The sequence below is a fragment of the Homo sapiens genome, chromosome 3 (genome assembly GCF_000001405.40).
Source record: "Homo sapiens chromosome 3, GRCh38.p14 Primary Assembly".
Classification (NCBI taxonomy): Eukaryota; Metazoa; Chordata; class Mammalia; order Primates; family Hominidae; genus Homo; species Homo sapiens.
In genome coordinates, this window is record NC_000003.12 from 59,041,162 (window position 1) to 59,059,953 (window position 18,792).

An 18,792-nucleotide genomic window follows, 5' to 3' on the forward strand; every position below is an offset into this window, starting at 1 on the left:
AGCAGGATAAGTGAAATCAGTCTTTAAAAAAGGTCCCTAATTTATGTCACAAATCTCACTGAATCAGCACTGTTCTCTTCAAACACAAAGAGTTACACACATAGGGCATTTTTATATGAGCATTTTTAGATATAAAAGAGTTCTTACCCTCAAAAAAAGAAAGTTTTGTAATTCAACTTTCTCACATATAGAAGCCCCAGTTTCCAAAACGTTTCACTTCTAAGATTAAAAGAAATATTATGATACCATATGGTGATGATCTGACAAAAAAAAAGTACTTTAATAACATTTGACACAGACTGATCCTGTGTGTCAGATGCTAAATAAATTCTATAGTAACATTTTTTTCCAGTGGCTTAGTATATTTAAACTGACTATTCATGTCTACATTATATTTAAAATCACTCTCTCTAAGTAATGTTGAATGTGGAAATTCTGTTAGTCAAAAATGTCCATCAAGTACATAAAATTCATAAAAATTTAGTTTCTTCCTGAAATATGCAGCTTTTTACAGTTTTATAATCTGTTGTCTGTCAGAAACAAACTACCTACTTTTTTTCTCCCACTTCAACACACAAAACAGGAATTAGTTATCTGTTCATCATGGGCTATTCCATATCCCTTGAGCAAATTAGAAAACCTGTGTGGGCCCTTTTACTTTTCATCTGTAAAAACTGGGTTAATAGTTTAGATTTACAACTCATAGGATTATTTATATGGATTAAATTAGGTCTACCATGCAACGAAGATTACTGAGCACCTACTACGTACAAGACTCAATGCTGAAGTTTTTGCAGTAAATAAGACATACATGCTCTCTGACCTTTTAGAATTTATATTCTAGCTCCATGAAGGAGAAAGTCAGGGTGCTATGAAAGCATATAACCCTGGGTCCTTGCAGGAGAAGAGGATGATTAGTGAAGCTTTTCTTGAAGGACAAGCATTGAAACTCAGCTGGGATGAATACACAGGAATTGACTGGGCAAGCGGGATGGGTGTAGGAGAGAGGAACAAACGTTGCTGGCAGAGGGAGTACTCCATCCTATGATGGAAAAGGATGGAGTAGATTGGATAAACCTAAAAAGGGCTTAATGGGCTGATAGGAGAGACAGAAGAGGAAATGCAGCAGGAGACGGGTTTGGCAAAGTAGAGAGGAAACCAATTATGTGGGGTCTTGAAGACCATGTGAAGAATATAAGTCATCCTAAAATCAATGGTAAACCCCTCGTACATTAATTCATTTATTCGACAAAGATTTACTGAATGTCTATTCTCGGGGGTAAATGCTGTAGGTAGAGGGTACAGTCTGTGCATGGGTGCCAAGGTGATAGTGCACTGGACTATGTTTCAAAACAGCAATGGGACCTGTATGGTTGCAAAAGCACGAACGAGAAAAAGAGTAATAGGAAATAGGTCAGAACTAAGAAGGGCACCAGATACTGCAGAGTCCTGTAGGTTTTTGAGTTTTAATCTGAGAGAGATGGGACATTTTTAGTGGAGGAGTAACATTACTTATGTGTTTCTTACAATTTAAAAGTATTACTCTGGCTGCTAATTTGACAATAGACTGTAATACAGAGGCCAAGTCAGAAACAGGGAGACCAATTAGGTTACTACAATAATCCAAGCATGAGATACTGGTGGCTTTGGCCAGTAGCACTGGAGGTACCAAGAAGTGATCAGACTCTCAACCTATTTTAAACATAGTGCCAACAAGACCTTCCAGATAGACTGAATGAAGAGAAAGAAAAATCAAAGCTGATTTAAAAGCTTTTTTTCTAAGCAACTGAAAAGATAAGTTGCTAACAGCAGAAATGGGGCAGCCTGCAGGAGAAGGAATTTCGAGGAGTAAAGACCAGAAGTTAGGCTTTGGACATATTGTATTTCAGCTGTCCAAGCGTAGAAATGTCAAGTAAGTAAGATGATATTCAAGAAGTCTAGAGTTAGGAGAGAAGTCTGAGCTGGAAATGTAAGCTAGAGTAAGACAGAGATGGCATTTAAATCCATGAGCTGGAAGCTGATAACCAAGGGAGTAAGTGTAGATAGAGTGCCAACGACTGAGTCCAGGGACGCTGCAACATTAATTCAAGTTGGGGAAAAGAGGAAGAACCACAAAAGGAGGCTAAGAAAGAAGAACAGTGAAATGGGAAGAAAACTAGGAGTATGGACATCTTGGGTATGAGTGAGGAAAATATAAGAAGGAGGTGTCAACTTTCTCAAATGATGCTAATATGTGAAGTAAGATGAGGGCTGAGAACTGTCCACCGGATTCAGGAAAATAGAGGCAGATCAAAGCCACTGAGGGGTTTTAAACAGAGGAAGTCATGACAAGATAAAAATGATACTAAAGTGGGGGCTTGAGGAGGCCTGGGGAAACCTCATAAAGGTGACCTCATCCTCCAGAGCAGCTGAAATGCAGAACAATGCCAGGCTTCAGGGATGCTACTCCCCCGAGACACATCATTTGATTCAGATGCCACAGGCAGAGAAAACAATGGTTTCAAACATGAGCCTCCAACAGAAAGCTCTGAAGAAGACCCTCCAAATGACATATGTTTATGTGTGACAGAGCTGCTCCTCATATGGGCAACTCTACATAATGTGTTCCAGAGTGAAGAGCAGCAGGGATTTATTTATTTAGCTGGTGAAGAGTTTACTCAAGTCTCATTATCAAGGCCAACTGGTTACAATGAAAAATTATGACCCAAATTGTCATAGTTTCATAGTATGGCAAATTTAACAAACTTATTGAACACCAACCATGTACCAGGCACTGAGTTAAGGGTACAAAGAAGATGATTCAGGAAGATCCCTGCCCTAGAGAAGTGCACAATTCTGATAAGTAATATCACAATTTCCTTTATTTTATGTGTTTGAGATCCTCAAATACAAGTTAAATCAGAAATATTATTTTTTAAAACAAAAAACATACTTAATTTCATTACTAAACTTTCTTCCTAAGTAGTACCTAATACAGACAGAAACACAAATAGGGTACCTAATGTCAAGTTTGCATAAATAAAGTGGATGTTTACTCTTAAAATAGGAATACATAACGGTAATTGAATTTATAAATGTTAATTAAAAGCCAATTATCTATTCAAGGCATGTCATTCAATTTAAATTTAACCATACAAACTTCACATAGAAGGTCATTTTACACAAGTAAAAATAGCTATAAATTTCTGTTATCAAAAATTCCAAATAACCTTAAAGGCATCAGTGCAGGGCAGACTATATAAACTGTTTCATTTGTTACAGTGCTACACATGATATAGAAAAGCCAGATTAACTTTTAATTATAAGGCATTGTACAAGAAATACATTAAAAGATTTTTCTGTTTTTTTACAATTAAAACGATCATCTTTCCATTTAAAAAAGTAATTATGATACATTAAACTTGGTTTATTTCTTAAAAAAAAAACTTCAGATAAAAATGGAAAAGCAGAGCTTGTATTTAATCATTCAGTCTTTAGTAGAGAAGGAATCTATCTCAGAATCAAATGAGAAAGGTTACTAAAAGTGATTGATTTTTTTAATAAGGTAACCATGTGCATACATACTGAGGGCATTAAATGAAAATACAGGTGGGCTTTATAAGTTCAGAAAAAAACAAAAGAACTAACACTGGCTTAGAACAAAGTCATATTCCTGAAAGTCAAATGTATCTACATGTCTTACAAAACCAATATCCTTAAAAAGATGTCCTGTGCCTCTTGCAAGAAGATGAAACCACAGTTTCAGACAGGTTTCCCTGGATCATCTTAGTTCACCTCATTTATAAGTACAAATATATATGGAAATGCAAAAAACCTCCTATTACAGACACACACACACACACACACACACACACACACGCAGAAACTATTAGGAAAGCATAATCTTTAAGTGGCAATAAATTAAAAACTATCTTTAATGATGATATCTCTTCTTTTTTTTTCCGGTCTCTTTCGTAGTTTAGAAAGAAACACTGGCAAACCACTTTAAAATAAATCATCTTTCACTTATAACTTCTATGGCTAGTTTATGTCTTAGAAATCTAAAATATGCATGTAGTAGCTTGAAATGGCACATAAAGCACAGAACCTATATAAGTTTAGAAAACTGAATTAAAATGATAAAATCAGGTACCAACAACAGGTCTTTTTATAGAGCTTCATGCATGGTAGGTATTCGATAAATGTTCTAATGAATGAAAGAAGGAATAAGTAAATGATGAATGTAAAAAAAAAACTTTATATTTGCTAAATCACCTGAAATTTATATTTAAAACATAGGACGTAGTTGATGAAAAATCTAGTTAATCATTCTGATAAATCATATTCCTTAAATCAATCAGTTTACTCAAGGTCTAATTTAGTAGCAGAGCCTTGAATTGTAACCCTGTCTCTGCTAATAACTGGGCTTCTGATAAATCTGCGTTATCTCTCAGGGTTTCTTCTGCTTTGAAATGCTGATCTTAATTTCTAAAGTAAACAAGAATTGAAATAGATTCTATGGGTCTTTGTTAAATCACATATTCATATATATACTTTATGATTAATATTAAAAGGTAATAAGTATATGAGTTGACATGTCACTAAATTATGCTTTATATCTTACTTCTGATACATTTTTTCTCACAAATTAATTTCTTGTATTTAGGAATGCTGATTTTATTTCAAAGTTTAGCCCTGATGAGGAACCAACCTCAGTTTGTTCATTTGTAAAAGAGCTATTAGGAGGATTAAAAGAGTTCATAAATATTAAATGTTTACAAAGCTCCTGGCACATAGTAAGTGCTCAATAAATGCTATTATTATCATAATTAATGGCTGCCAAATACTCTTCTAAATCTTCTTTAAGATACTACTAGATTTCTAGAAGATGGTGAGGTAGAATATATTTTTTTAAAGGCCTAGCATAGTGCCTAGCATAGTTAGTTGCCCTCTAAATTAAAAAAAAAATTCTATCATCTTACATAAATAGATGTCAGTAGAAGTCATACTAATGTGCCTGTTTATGAGACATAAAAGCAGAACTTTGAGTACAAAATGTTAAGTTTCAATATTAAAAATATTACTTACGGCTTTGCTTATTCTCCTTTGGTAACTGAATTTTGTTTGTTTGGCTGCTGCCTTCCAGGACAAACACAAAACTTTTAACTTCTTTATCAAACTCCTATAGAACAAAATGAAAACAGTAGTTATCACAGGATATTTTATTTGGCTTCTACTATAAAATTGAAACTTCAGATCTACAGGGAAAAAAAAATCCCATATTCAAATAACTTAAAAGCAGGCTCAGGCCTTAGTACTTTTATTCCAAGACTTGCTGGGAACTAGAATACGGAGGCATGGTGAAAGGACAAAGAGCAAGGGCATTCAAGGTGTGGACTGGAAAGTGACTGAAATTATGGATGATGGATTCTGGGCTGGAGAGAAAAGGGAGATAAATAAAATAAATAAATAAATTAATTAAATCAATAAATAAAGCAAAACAAAACACAGGAAAAGTAGAACAGTCAATGGCCTAAAGTTCCCAATGAAGTTGAAGAAGAGAGTGGAGTAATTGAGCAAGCGACCTTAAGAATAAAGATTGGGATCAGAAAGGGACATTTTAATGTCTCAGTAACTTCAGAGGTCCTATAGTTTGTGGTGACAGGGAGCAGGGTAAGACAGTAGGGATGAATGCTGAAGTAGAGCGGAAGAGGTTGTTAAAGATGAAGAAATCAAGAAACTGAGAAGCCCAGGACTAGGAGAGATTTTTCTTACAGATACTGAAGTCATCTAAAATGATACACAGCAGGGCATGGAGTACATAGAAGGGTTATGACCTGTGTGCCAAAGTCTTAGACAACTGAAGAGTGGTGTCCAGGACAGCTGCAGCCAACAATGTCATGAAAGGGTTTTGGAGTGAAAGAACAGGAAAAACAGCTCTGAAATTTGATCACGCCCTTTCTTCTATAAGCTTCACTCACATTTCTTCCCCTGATTTATGTGGCTCTAATTTCTAATACTTACTTTCCAAATCACAGATGGACTACCAAGGATCTTCCATTTTGCTCCAGGATTTTTTCCTTGAGCACTGAAAATTTCAACAAATGCACCTCCCTAGAAAATGAAAATAAAATATTAAAAGACAATGCTAACGAGGAAGTATTATCCACCACATAGTCTATAACCAGTGTTCCCGGCATCTGTCAGTTAAGCTGATCTGGGATGAAACATTCTCCCTGTTATTACTCCTACTTTATACCTTGATTGTATCTAAACCACAACCATTCTGATTTGGATCACCTTGGATTAATGGTTTAAAGAATCTGTTTTTAAAGCATGACAAACATTAAATCAATTGTGCCATACAAACCCTACAGTATCTCAGTGGGGGACTCGTTTACTTGACACATACAGATCATTCTTGCAAAACATTTTATGTTTTACAGACTGTGTTTTGCAACCACACTAAAGGGTTTAAACGCAATTCTTGAATCAGGCCAATACATTCAGGTAGTTATCTCCAAATACAAGCTTTCTAGTCATACTGACTGAGGCTCCAACACTGGCTTTTTAACTATCTGAACTTGGAGTTACTTAACTTCTTGATTCTCCATCTGTAAAATGGGTTGTTGGATTACATAAGATACTAAACATTAAACCTTGAGCATAATACTCAGCTCACAGCAGGGGCTCAACAGCACCATCAAAGTTTATTCAAAAAATGGGAAGGGAAATTAAACAGTTTAGTACTGGTCAATAAAAAGGCCTGGGAGGGATTTGGAAATTCCTATTTTGAGCATTCCTACAAGATATTTTTACGTATGTAATACAAATTAATGTGAAGATCTATAAAATCTGTATAAGAGAAATAAAATATTGTGTCTACAGACAGCCTACTGGTTCCCCATTGTAAACATGAGAACATGGAAGGACACACTTATGTAAGCACACTGAAGATATTACTGAATGTCCATAAGCTTTAATTATTTAAGAAAGGGGAATTAAATAAGATAATTATCTCTAAGGAAGAATTTATTGCAAAAAATGAGAATCCTATATGAGGATTAAATACGGTTTGAATTATAAACAATATGTGAGCAAATCTAATTTCTGTAAGGAATTTCCAGCTTTTAATTTTTCTCAGTAATATAAAGATATTTTTGCCTCTCAGTTATAACACACGATCACTTGGAGGTAAGACATTTAATGTCTTCTTCCTTAGGCAGTATTACGTGCAAACTGTATATGGGATAGAATTACTATAGCTTGTGAGGGCAGGTAATATTTCACTATGAATTTAAATTTGAGACAGCTAGTTGTTTTAAAAGACAAAAGCCCTCATACTCGGTGAGACGGCAAACTCTCCCTGCTGCTTTTTGCTTTCCCATGTCCTCCAAGTTTCCTGTAGTGGGCACATGTTTTTTTGATAATATATTTTACCTATAAGAAGTGAGACAAACTCTCTAAAAGTGTTCTAGCCCAATTAGTGATAACGAATGGGACAGAAGAAAGAGAACTGCAGACTACTCCGAGAGCACTCATAATGAGGCAAGTAGTGTTAGGTGAATGAAAAGGCAGAAGCAATAAAGAGGTGGAGACGGGTAGAGAACTGATTAGATACAGTAACAAACGTTCATCAGAACAGCAGGACTAGCATGGTAAACAGACTGTAAACAAGGAGTGTAACCTCTTGCAAAGGCGAGGAGAGGAGACCAGGAAGGGAGGTGTCCAGTGAGGTGAGGAAAGCAGGTCGAGACACTCTAGGATACTCAAAGTGACTGAGGACGACCCAGAAGCAGTGTTTCTCCAAGTGTGATCCTTGGACCCCCTGCATAGGAATCACTTGGGGGAACTAGTTAAAAAGCTTAATCAAGTGACCCCCATCCAGAGATTCGGATTCACCAGATCTGGGATGCGGGTCAGGAAATCTGCACGTTTACAAGCACCCCAAGAAAGCCTGATGTACTCCAACGTCTGAGATTCACTGACTCCCAGTTCTGTAAAAATAAAACAGCACATAGCCAAAGTGCTTATTTTCTTTCTTGATGTAACAATGCATGCATTCACTCATTCACTCTTCTAAATCGCTTCTGAGATACCAGTGTTGCATGAATACTGAGTCTCCAAAGCGCTTTGTTAAAACTCAAGATTTCTGGGCCCTGCCCTCAAGATTCTGATTCAGGAGGTTTCAGTGGGGCTTAAGATCTCCATTTTAGGTAGAATCACAGACAATTAATTCATCTTAAGAAACACTGAGTTGGAGAGTGAACAAAAGCCAAATCATACGCCTAGACATTGGTAAATTTTTCCTTCTCTCTGGGTCAACAGCATTCACCCATTAATTCTGTCTTACCCCTGAAAAAGACCTTATTATGGGGATAGAGGGTGCACTTTATCCTCACCCCGATCACGGACTACCTCACCCAAGAGGAGAAAGGTATAGACAGGTTGGAGAACCGTTTCGGGTTACCTGGTACTCATTTTTGAACATTCCCGCAGGGGGCCCAGGGCTTGGGGGGCACAGAGTTCAGGGTTTCCAGCGAGTGGCGTGACCCTGACGGCTGGAAATCGGCTGGCGGGAACCCAGGAGCCCGACGGGTGGGAAAGGGCTTCGTGCTTGGCCCAGACTTGGGCAGGCTCTTCTCAGCCCCTCCGGCCCCTGGTCAGCTCCATCTCCCGCCCTCCATCAGCACCATTGCGGCTCCAGCCTCCGCGGTGCCCGGGTCTGGGGAGGGCGCAGCTGCCTGGACGGACTCCGGGCCGTCCCTGGGGAGTGATTGTGTGTGTAACCTACGTGACGGGGCGCCCAGTCGCGGAGCCACAGACAACCGCCCGCTGGCCTAGGAAAAGCGGGCGCGCTCCCGCTGCCGCCCCACCCCAGAATCAAACCGCGAAAGAGCAGCGCCGAGCGCCACCCGCGTTCCGGCCGCGCCCATTGGTTCCCACTGGGCGCCTGCGCGTTGCGCTCTCTAGGCTTCTCGCCGACGGGCACGGGAGGATACGCGGTGACGTAGCGTTGCCCAGGCAACCGCGGGACTCCTGGAGAAATGGTGGGCGGTCCAAACGGTGAGCAGCACGCTCCTTACTTAGGTCATGACCTCTGCCGACTAAAAAGGCTAAACTCAGCGTGGATTAGGGCTATACCAGGTACTGGACTCTTCTAGAGTACTGTCACATCGGTTTGGTCTCTCCTCGTGGTAAACAGATAACTGGTAGGTTCCTGAGGGATACAGTCATGGACTCATGGAACCCTCACGCGGCCTTTGCTTAGAAGGTTCCCAAATTTGGGTTCGTTGAGGCAGTAAGAGGGTCTGCTGGACCCTTTCATTGTTTCAGAAGACCCTAGGAAGCCAAGATTTTTTTGTAGAAAATAATAACTTATTGAGACTAGCACTGGCTTAAGTGTAACTATTAAGTTACTTTATTTAGTTTCTAGATCAGAGCCACTTCTTACATGGAAGGTACTATTGCCAATTTTTGGCTAAGGAACTGTGGCTCAGAAAGGTTAAATGGCTTGGCCAAAGTCATATGGCACTGAGAGGTGACAGCATGCTGGCAGTCCTCAGAGCCCTCGCTTGCTCTCGGCACCTCCCCTGCCTGGGCTCCCACTTTGGCGGCATTTGAGGAGCCCTTCAGCCCCCCACTGCACTGTGGGAGCCCCTTTCTGGGTTGGCCAAGGCTGGAGCCCACTCCCTCAGCTTGCAGGGAGGTGTGGAGGGAGAGGCGCGAGCGGGAACCCGGGCTACGTGCCGCGCTTGCAGGCCAGCTGGAGTTCCGGGTGGGCGTGGACTTGGCAGGCCCCGCACTCGGAGCAGCCGGCCAGCCCTGCTGGCCCCGGGCAATGAGGGACTTAGCACCCGGGCCAGTGGCTGCAGAGGGTCTACTGGGTCCCCCAGCGTGCTGGCCCACCGGCACTGTGCTCGATTTCTCGCCAGGCCTTAGCTGCCTTCCCGCGGGGCAGGGCTCAGAACCTGCAGCCCGCCATGCCTGAGCCTCCCACCCACTCCGTGTGTTCCTGTGCAGCCCGAGCCTCCCCGATGAGCGCCGCCCCCTGCTCCACGGCGCCCAGTCCCATCGACCACCCAACGGCTGAGTAGTGTGAGCGCACGGTGCGGGACTGGCAGGCAGCTCCACCTGCGGCCCCAGTGCGGGATCCACTAGGTGAAGCCAGCTGGGCTCCTGAGTCTGGTGGGGAGGTGGAGAGTCTTTACGTCTAGCTCAGGGATTGTAAATAACCAATCAGCACCCTGTGTTTAGCTCAAGGTTTGTGAGTACACCAATTGACACTCTGTGTCTAGCTGCTCTGGTGGGGCCTTGGAGAACCTGTGTGTCCAAACTCTGTATCCAGCTAATCTGATGGGGACGTGGAGAACCTTCGTGTCTAGCTCAGGGATTGTAAACGCACCAATCAGCGCCCTGACAAAACAGGCCACTGGGCTCTACCAATCAGCAGGATGTGGGTGGGGCCAGATAAGAGAATAAAAGCAGGCTGCCCGAGCCAGCATTGGCAACTAGCTGGGGGTCCACTTCCACACTGTGGAAGCTTTGTTCTTTCACTCTTTGCAATAAATCTTGCTACTGCTCACTCTTTGGGTCCACACTGCTTTTATGAGCTGTAACACTCACCGCGAAGATCTGCAGCTTCTCTCCTGAAGCCAGCGAGACCACGAGCCCACCAGGAGGAACAAACAACTCCAGACGTGCTGCCTTAAGAGCTGTAACACTCACCGCGAAGGTCTGCAGTTTCACTCCTGAGCCGGTGAGACCACGAACCCACCAGAAGGAAGAAACTCCGAACACATCCGAACATCAGAAGGAACAAACTCCAGACGCGCCACCTTAAGAGCTGTAACACTCACCGCGAGGGTCCGCGGCTTCATTCGTGAAGTCAGTGAGACCAAGAACCCACCGATTCCGGACACAGCACCAGTTAGGAACTCTTATCTGATGCTGCACTCATGGTTGAGTTAGGTCAATGGCATAGGTTAATGCTAATCAGGTACCACTCATAAAATTCCTGCTATAGGCAGAGTGGCTCACAGGTTCACGATTCTGTGAGGTAAGGGTTAGTCTCCTTTCATTTGAGAAGATTGAGATTCAGAGTCGATTAGGAATTTACTCAAGGATGCAATATTGAGTTTCATTTATGTTTGAGTCTAAAGCCTGGAATCATTCCACTTCACCCAAAAACCTCAAACATTTATTGTCGTATCATATGCCAACTATTATGGATTATGTAAGGGACGCGAAAATAAATGATATTTGGACCTGCTCCTTATCAAGGATAAGAAGAGCAGATAAGGAACAAACCTTCTTGAACATTCTAAGCCAAATAATAGATGGAAAGGAAATAGAGGTGGGGGCCATGGCACAGCTATACATTGCAGTATAGTGTCTAGAATCCAAAATTCCTGATTTCTAGACTGGCAAACTTAGTTCAACAGCAGTTTCTTGTAAGGCTCTGTGCTGGAGGCTTTGACAATTGTGATCAATAGACATGGTCTCTGTCTTACAAGACTTATCTGTGGGGGACATTTATCCACTAATTCTTTTTAACAGTTTCTAGGAACATAAGATACTTCAAATACTATGCTAAGAGACTGGGTGTGCAGTGAATGGCCCTACCTTCATGGAGCTTACACAGGGGAGTGAGACAGATGATAAATAAAATAGCAAATAATTACAACTTGTGATAAATATCATGAATTCAATCACAGGGAGTAACATTGGGCGGGTATATTAGTTTCCTGTGGCTGCTGTAACATTACCTCAAAAGGAGTAGCTTAAAACAACAGAAATTTATTCTCTCATAGTTCTGGAGGCCAGAAGTCCAAAATCAAAGTATCAGTAGGGCCACACTCCCCCTAGTGGCTTTAGAGGAGGATCCATTCTTTGCCTCATCCAGCTTCTGGTAGCTGTTGGCACCCCTTGAATTGTGGCTTCATTTGGAGGCCAGAAGTCCAAAATCAAAGTGTCAGTAGGGCCACACTCCTCTAGTGGCTTTAGAGGAGAATCCATTCTTTGCCTCATCAGCTTTTGGCAGCTGTTGGCACCCCTTGAATTGTGGCTCCATTTCTCCAGTCTCTGTCTCACCTCCGTGGTCACATTGTCTTCTCTTCTGTGTGTGTTTTCCCTGTGTGTCTCTTATAAAGAGGTTGTAATAGTATTTAGGGCCAACTTTGATAATCCAAGGCAATCTCTTTATTTCAAGATAATTTAATCACATCTCCAAAGACCAATTTTTCCAAATAAGGAAACATTTACATGCTCCGGGGGTTGATGTGAATATCTTCTTTGGGCAGCTGTTAATAATAAGGATGGCAAAAGGTATAATGAAAATCTGGGAAGAATCTAGGGGACATCTTAAGGCTTCTAACAATCTACTTGGGTCTCTGAAAAGGGTCTTTTGACACCATAGTTGAAGTGAAATCCACAACTTTGCCCTACTTTATTTTTTTCTTCCTCTTATGATTACATGAGTTAATATGTTTATCATTTATCTACAACTAAAAGGGTGAATTAATAACCTCAATTTGTCAATGAAAAAATGAGCTACAGAATTGAAAATGAATAATTACAGTGAATCAGTAAGTCTTATTACTCAGGTGTTTTTGGTTTTGATCACCTGTTTATTCAACTTAAGACTAGAAGGAAACAGTGTCCATTTATTTCAGTGTCCTCACTTCCTAAAGAGAAAGTAATAGTCCAAAGCCAAACATTGTCATCTGACCGTCCTAATTTCTAACAAGTTCAGGAGACTCAGAGTTGGATTTTCATTAGCAAGTATGATATACTGCTTGTCCAGGAAATGGGCAAATCTGAAAGCTGCCCAAGTTTATCAATGGTATTTTGCCTATGGTGAGAGCCACCATTAACAATGACAATGGTAGCAATAAAACAAAAATAAGAATGTGCAGTACTTTAACAGTATGAATTCAAAATCAGAGAAAGGTGGAAATCCAACTTTACAATAGCAAGTACTCTTCAATTTGATTGAATGCAAGCTATGAACAAAAACTTGGATTTGACTATGACTTCAAGGATATCTAGCAGAATTCTGAAAAAAAGAAAAAAAAAGAAAAAAGCCAGCCTGCCCAAACAACTTGGCTTAAACCAAGTTATTTATGTTCATTATAAAAGATAAACCAAGTTATTTATGTTCCCTATAAAAGACAGTGAAACAATTTCTTTAATTGCTACAATTTTTTAAGAAGTTGGTACATTTAGTAATTGCGTTAAATTGCTTAACTTAATTTGATAACTTTAAGATTAGTCACTTTACAAGCTGTAAAGTGCTTGTCTTTGTTCTACAAAGAAAGTGATTGAAAAAAATAATTTGTTGGTATATTAATATTAAAGGATATTGGATAGTATTTAAAATGGAATAGACTAGAAACAGTTTTTAAAGAGTGGCAGTCTTCGTATGCCAATATAGCCATTCCACTTAGATGAGTATGATTATCAATTTGACGAGAAATAATATCTTTTGAACTAAGAATGTACTGTATTTACCACAATATTGTTGTAGTTTATATTTTGATTACAGTACATAATCTAATTATTTGGCTAATGGGAAGAAATAAGATATCTGTTTCATGAGAATTTGCTACACAGTAATCTAGAAATGTTTAATACTTGAAGGGTTAATTTTTTATACATTATGGAATAGCTTTATGAATGATAATGTTGAGTTGATAGGAAAGTTTTGAAACTGGGCCTATTTTATAGTTTTAAGCAAGAAAAATTAATGATACCAAAGTTATTCATTTGACAGGTGATTTGAAAATAGTAGTGTCTTCTTTTTTCCAGAAAGTATGGAATGGTGAAAGTTTTTGAGGGCTTTACTGTTTTTAGATTTTCTCCTCAAATGGGTTTTTCCCCCTTCTCAGGTCCATGAGATCCTATGGGGACTATTTCTTGCCTGTACCTATAGATGACCAAGTACTTCAAAAGTCATGCATCATTTTAAAATTTCCAAAACCACTTGAAAGCTTTCTCAGGAAAACAAGACAAAACAAAAAAACTATCCCAGTAGTTTGATAATTAGGTATGAATACTTTCCTAAATAAAGTAGCTTTACATAGCAAGCACTTAGGTTTAGAAAAACGACCGTTTGCCAAATGCATCTTTGAAAGGAATACATTTATTGAGTGGATATTTAGTATTAATTTGTTTTACAATGACATAAATGATCAAGGTTTTTAACAGACAAGTTAGATCTAAGTAGCAAGTTTTTCTTGGATAACTTTCTCTAACCTAAAGCCAGTTAGTGTTGATTTGTGATAAAAGGGCTGTAGAAAACTAGATGTTTACATGAGAAAGAATGAAATTGGACTCTTGCTTTACTTTTTAAATGTATATACATGAATTAACTCAAAATGAATCAAAGACATAAGACCTAAAATTATAAAACTCTTATAAGAAAACATAAGGGGAAAACTTAATGACATTGGACTTGGCATTGATTTCTTAACAACCTAGAGTAGATCCAGCTGCATCTAGAGGTCAGAAACATCATCAGGTTTCCTTTCTCCACACTGCTTCCTCTAGGTTGCCTCAGTCGTTAGGCTGGCTCTCTTTAGGTTTACAAAATGGCTATAGCATTCTCAATTTTACATTCTGATATCGCTAAATAGAGCATTTGGGGCTAAAGTCCTGAAGTTTACCTTCATTTGGATCAGTTCAGGGGATATGCCTATCTCTGAAATAAACACTTTGGTCAGATAAATAAGCTTAAGGCTAGATTAAGTGCTTATTCTTAAACCAGTCCCGGCAAACAAGGAGATGAGATATATTGATTGGCTGGGAATGGGGTACCACCCAAACATGTAACTAGGAATGGGGAAGGATTGTTTCCCAAAGGAAACTCTGGGTCCTCTTCTAGGGAAGGAGGAAGATGGATATTGGGCAGCCAAAAGGAGATATCTACTATAATGATTTTTTTTTTTTTTTTACAAATAACAGACACCAGACATATTTTTTAAAAACTCTAACTATACATGAATAATTTAATATGAAAGAAAGGTTCGCTAACATTCTTTAAATGATTTGATGTACATATGTGTAATTCAAATATCATAGGCCCTTTTCATTATCCCAGGATTTACATTAACTCCTTTTTTTTTTTTTTTTTTGAGACGGAGTGTGGCTCTGTCGCCCAGGCTGGAGTGCAGTGCAGCGATCTCGGCTCACTGCAAGCTCCACCCCCTGGGTTCACGCCATTCTCCTGCCTCAGCCTCCCGAGTAGCTGGGAATACAGACGCCCGCCACTACGCCTGGCTAATTTTTTGTATATTTAGTAGCGACGGGTTTTCACCGTGTTAGCCAGGATGGTCTCGATCTCCTGACCTCGTGATCTGCCCACCTCAGCCTCCCAAAGTGCTGGGATTACAGGCATGAGCCACCGCGCCCAGCCTCATTAACTCTTAATATTCAAGCCTGGATTTTTTAAGCTCTTACCTGCTTAGTAACAGGAAATCCAATGTTATTGGATGCCTGTGTATTTCCAGGATCTTTAAGAGGATACTAAGTAGCCAGGAATCACTTCAGAAGTGATTACTTAACTGCATTTTTTTCTCAGACCAAACATTTTTATGAGGGATTCCACTTAGTTGCCATTGTTACCACTATTGCCAAAGAATACCTGCCATGTTTGAAGTTGTTGAAATTAGAATGTAACTGCTTTCGCTAATGTCACCAGTGAAGCAAAGACATCTGGAAGCTGGCCTGACACTCACAGCTAGGTTTTGGTGTTTTGTTGTTGCTATTGTTACTGAACACCAACAGTTTCACAGAATATCAACATCATACAAAACCACTCTGTGACCATGATGAATCAAGATAAAAACATGAATATGGTCCAAATCAAAAAGATGACTAAACATTTCCCTATCGTGGTTAATATGAGTGACTGCTGCTTCTTTACCAATTATAGCTAAGCCTTACTTCATTCTTCCTGTCTTATATATAAGATTTATTAATATTCCCAATCATTGAAATACTCTTGGTTCCTGACAGGATCCAATCCAGAGCAAAGCTCTACTTCCCTAAACCCTCCCCTAAATCAGCTAACATAAGCCCAAATCCTATAGTAAGTTCTAACATCCTCTTACTAGCATACCCAAGGTTCCCCAATGGTGTATTTTCTTCCTTGTTGCAATGAGTAATGAACCCAGCTTCTTCAACTACTGATATATCCCTGATGTTCTTTGGCTGGGGGGCATTAACACCAGTAAATCTAGAATTTTGTGTTTTTATTCTTAGGAAGCAAACTGAATGGTTATTGTGAATTTCACTCAGTTGCCAGGAAGAAGAAAAGTCTTTTCTGCAAAATTATTTGAGCCCCAGTATTCAGTGGTTAGCAATAAAGCTATTGCACTCAAATGATGCAGCTAGTCCAGACCTAACTCTGAAGCCCAGACCCCAATTGGAACTATTTAAATAAAGTGATCTACACTGTCGCCCTGAGTACCACTTACACTGCCTACCACCATCATTGTCCATACTGATTTTTCGATGTGTATCTTCTTTCATTTACCAAGAGAAAGATGTCTTTTCCAGGTAAGATAAGGTGTTTGGGGTGGGGAAGTCCCCACAGCGAAGCTGACTGGGTCCCAAAGTTCTGTAATTTAAAAAATTCACACATACATACATACATACACACACACACACTCACAGGCCTATTCCATGAGGTTGGTTGGGTTGGGACAAGTTTGACTATTTGCCCTACCCATACCAATATTTCCTTATCATTTCAGGTCCTGTTACTCATCTAACTCATTGTATATTCTTTCCTAATGGTGAATTCTTTTCTGAAGCCCCTCCTAAAATCTGATTTCCCCAATTTTCTGTCAGTTAGGCATAGCTCTGTCAGGTAGGCATACATATGTCAACAGAGTTTAAATATTTTTCTCCTGGGAGGCTCTTGGCCCTCAATAAAACCACCAGATGCAAATAGGTTATGTGTATGAAGAAATTCACACCAGTCCCCTAAAATATCTAATCTTAGTTCAAATTAGACCACATAGAGAGGGAAGTTGTCTAACTCAACTGTCCAAAAGCATCTGAGTTCCACCTCCACTCAAGTGCCCTAGTACTAGCTTATATTTCACCACCAAGAATATGTGCAGAAGAATGGGATTTCCTTCTCTCTTTTCCCCTTTCTCACCCCACAGGAGGCAGATATTTTGTTTAGCATATTAAATGCCGTTAAGCTATGGAACACAGTCAATAATATGTAGAGAAAAGTCTATTCATCTCATAGAAGTTCCAGTGTGAAGAACCCGAAGGACTTCTCAACCCCACCTCACCCACCTCTTACCCCAGGGCCCAGGGTAAGGACCTACCATGACCACTAGGATAGAGAGACAGGTGAAACTTAGAATTCTCCTTCAGCTATGCTTCTAGGATGGAACTGGAACCCAGGAGGGAGTTCAGAGGGATAGAAAAAGCTACAAAGAAGAGGGAAGACAAGATAAATGCGAAGTGGGAAAAAGGCAGTAGAAGGGAATCCAGGATGTTCATCTTGCAAGGTCTTCTGATGTCTGATATTTTTTGTGTTTCTGATAAGTTAATGGAAAGGATATTTTCTTGCCATTCACACAGACTTCTGCATGTGTGCTGATAGTGTGTGCCTAATGCATACAAACACATTCAGAACACCTTTTCAGAACACATATGAATAATAACCATTATTATTATTTCTTATTTCAATAGGTTTTTGGGAAACAGGTGGTGTTTGGTTACATGGATAAGTTCTTTAGTGGTGATTTCTGAGATTTTGGTATGCCCATCACCTAAGCAGCATACACTATACCCAATGTGTAGTCTTTTATCCCTCATCCCCTTCACACCCTTTCCTACAAGTCCCCAAAGTCCATTGTATCATTCTTATGCCTTTGTATCCTCATATCTTAGCTTCCACTTATGAGGGAGAACATACGATGTTTAGTTTTCCATTCCTGAGTAACTGCCCTTAGGATAATGGTCTCCAATTCCATCCAGGTTGCTGCAAATGCCATTATTTCATTCCTTTTTATGCCTAAGTAGTATTCCATGGTATGTGTGTGTGTGTGTGTGTCTATATATATAACATTTTGTTCATCCACTTATTGATTGATGGGCATTTGGGCTGGTTCCATGTGTTTGCAGTTGTGAATTTTGCTGCTATAAACATGCATGTGCAAGTGTCTTTTTCATATAAGGATTTTTTTCCTTTGGGTACATACCTGGTACTGGGATTGCTGGATCAAATGGTAGATCTACTTTTAGTTCTTTAAGGAATCTCCACACTGTTTCCACAGCGCTTGTACTAGTTTATATTCCCACTAGCAGTGTAAAAGTGTTTCCTTTTCATCACATCCATGCCAATGTTTATTATTTTTTGATTTTTTCCTTATGGCCATTCTTACAGGAGTAAGGTGGTATTGCATTGTAGTTTTGATTTGCATTTCCCTGATAATTAGTGATGCTGAACATTTTTTCATATGCTTGTTAGCCATTTGTATATCTTCTTTTGAAAAATGTCTATTCATACCATTTGTCCATTTTTTAATGGGATTGTTTTTCTTGCTGATTTGTTTCAATTCCTTGTAGATGCTGGATAGTAGTCTTTTGTCAGATGCATAGTTTGCAAATATAGTCTCCCATTCTGTGGGTTGTCTGTTTACTCTGCTGATTATTTCTTTTGCTGTGCAGAAGCTTTTTAGTTTAATTAAGTTCCATCTGTTGATCTTTGTTTTTGTTGCATTTGCTTTTGGGCTCTTGGTCATAAAGTCTTTGCCCAAACCAATGTCTAGAAGGGTTTTTCTGATG

The 18,792-nt window shown here is 39.6% G+C and overlaps 1 protein-coding gene across 26 annotated transcripts in view, besides 1 other annotated feature; it reads right to left on the minus strand.

Annotated features, from left to right (window-relative positions):
* CFAP20DC (CFAP20 domain containing) overlaps positions 1-8,864 on the minus strand; it is a 333,853-nt gene extending 324,989 nt beyond the window's left edge. For 22 of the 26 annotated variants that reach the window (XR_001740051.3, XR_007095648.1, XR_001740054.3 and 19 more), the window contains exons 1-3: positions 8,450-8,864; positions 6,004-6,093; positions 5,068-5,161 (exon numbers count right to left, since the gene is read on the minus strand). Coding sequence is in view for 10 of the 26 variants with exons in the window: in XM_047447655.1 (XP_047303611.1) it covers positions 5,068-5,161; positions 6,004-6,093; positions 8,450-8,470 (205 nt within the window). In the remaining 16 variants the exon portion in view is untranslated. Of the gene's footprint in view, positions 1-5,067; positions 5,162-6,003; positions 6,094-8,449 lie in introns of those variants that run through there. The other 4 variants (NR_147235.2, NM_198463.4, XM_011533456.3 and 1 more) reach the window with 2 other exon arrangements.
* Positions 17,198-17,448: a silencer, noted in NCBI's record as "fragment chr3:59044085-59044335 (GRCh37/hg19 assembly coordinates)". NCBI's record gives its function as "represses an EF-1alpha promoter that drives an FKBP-Casp9 reporter gene in an ReSE screen in HepG2 liver carcinoma cells {active_cell/tissue: HepG2}" and the evidence as "EXISTENCE:reporter gene assay evidence [ECO:0000049][PMID:32094911]".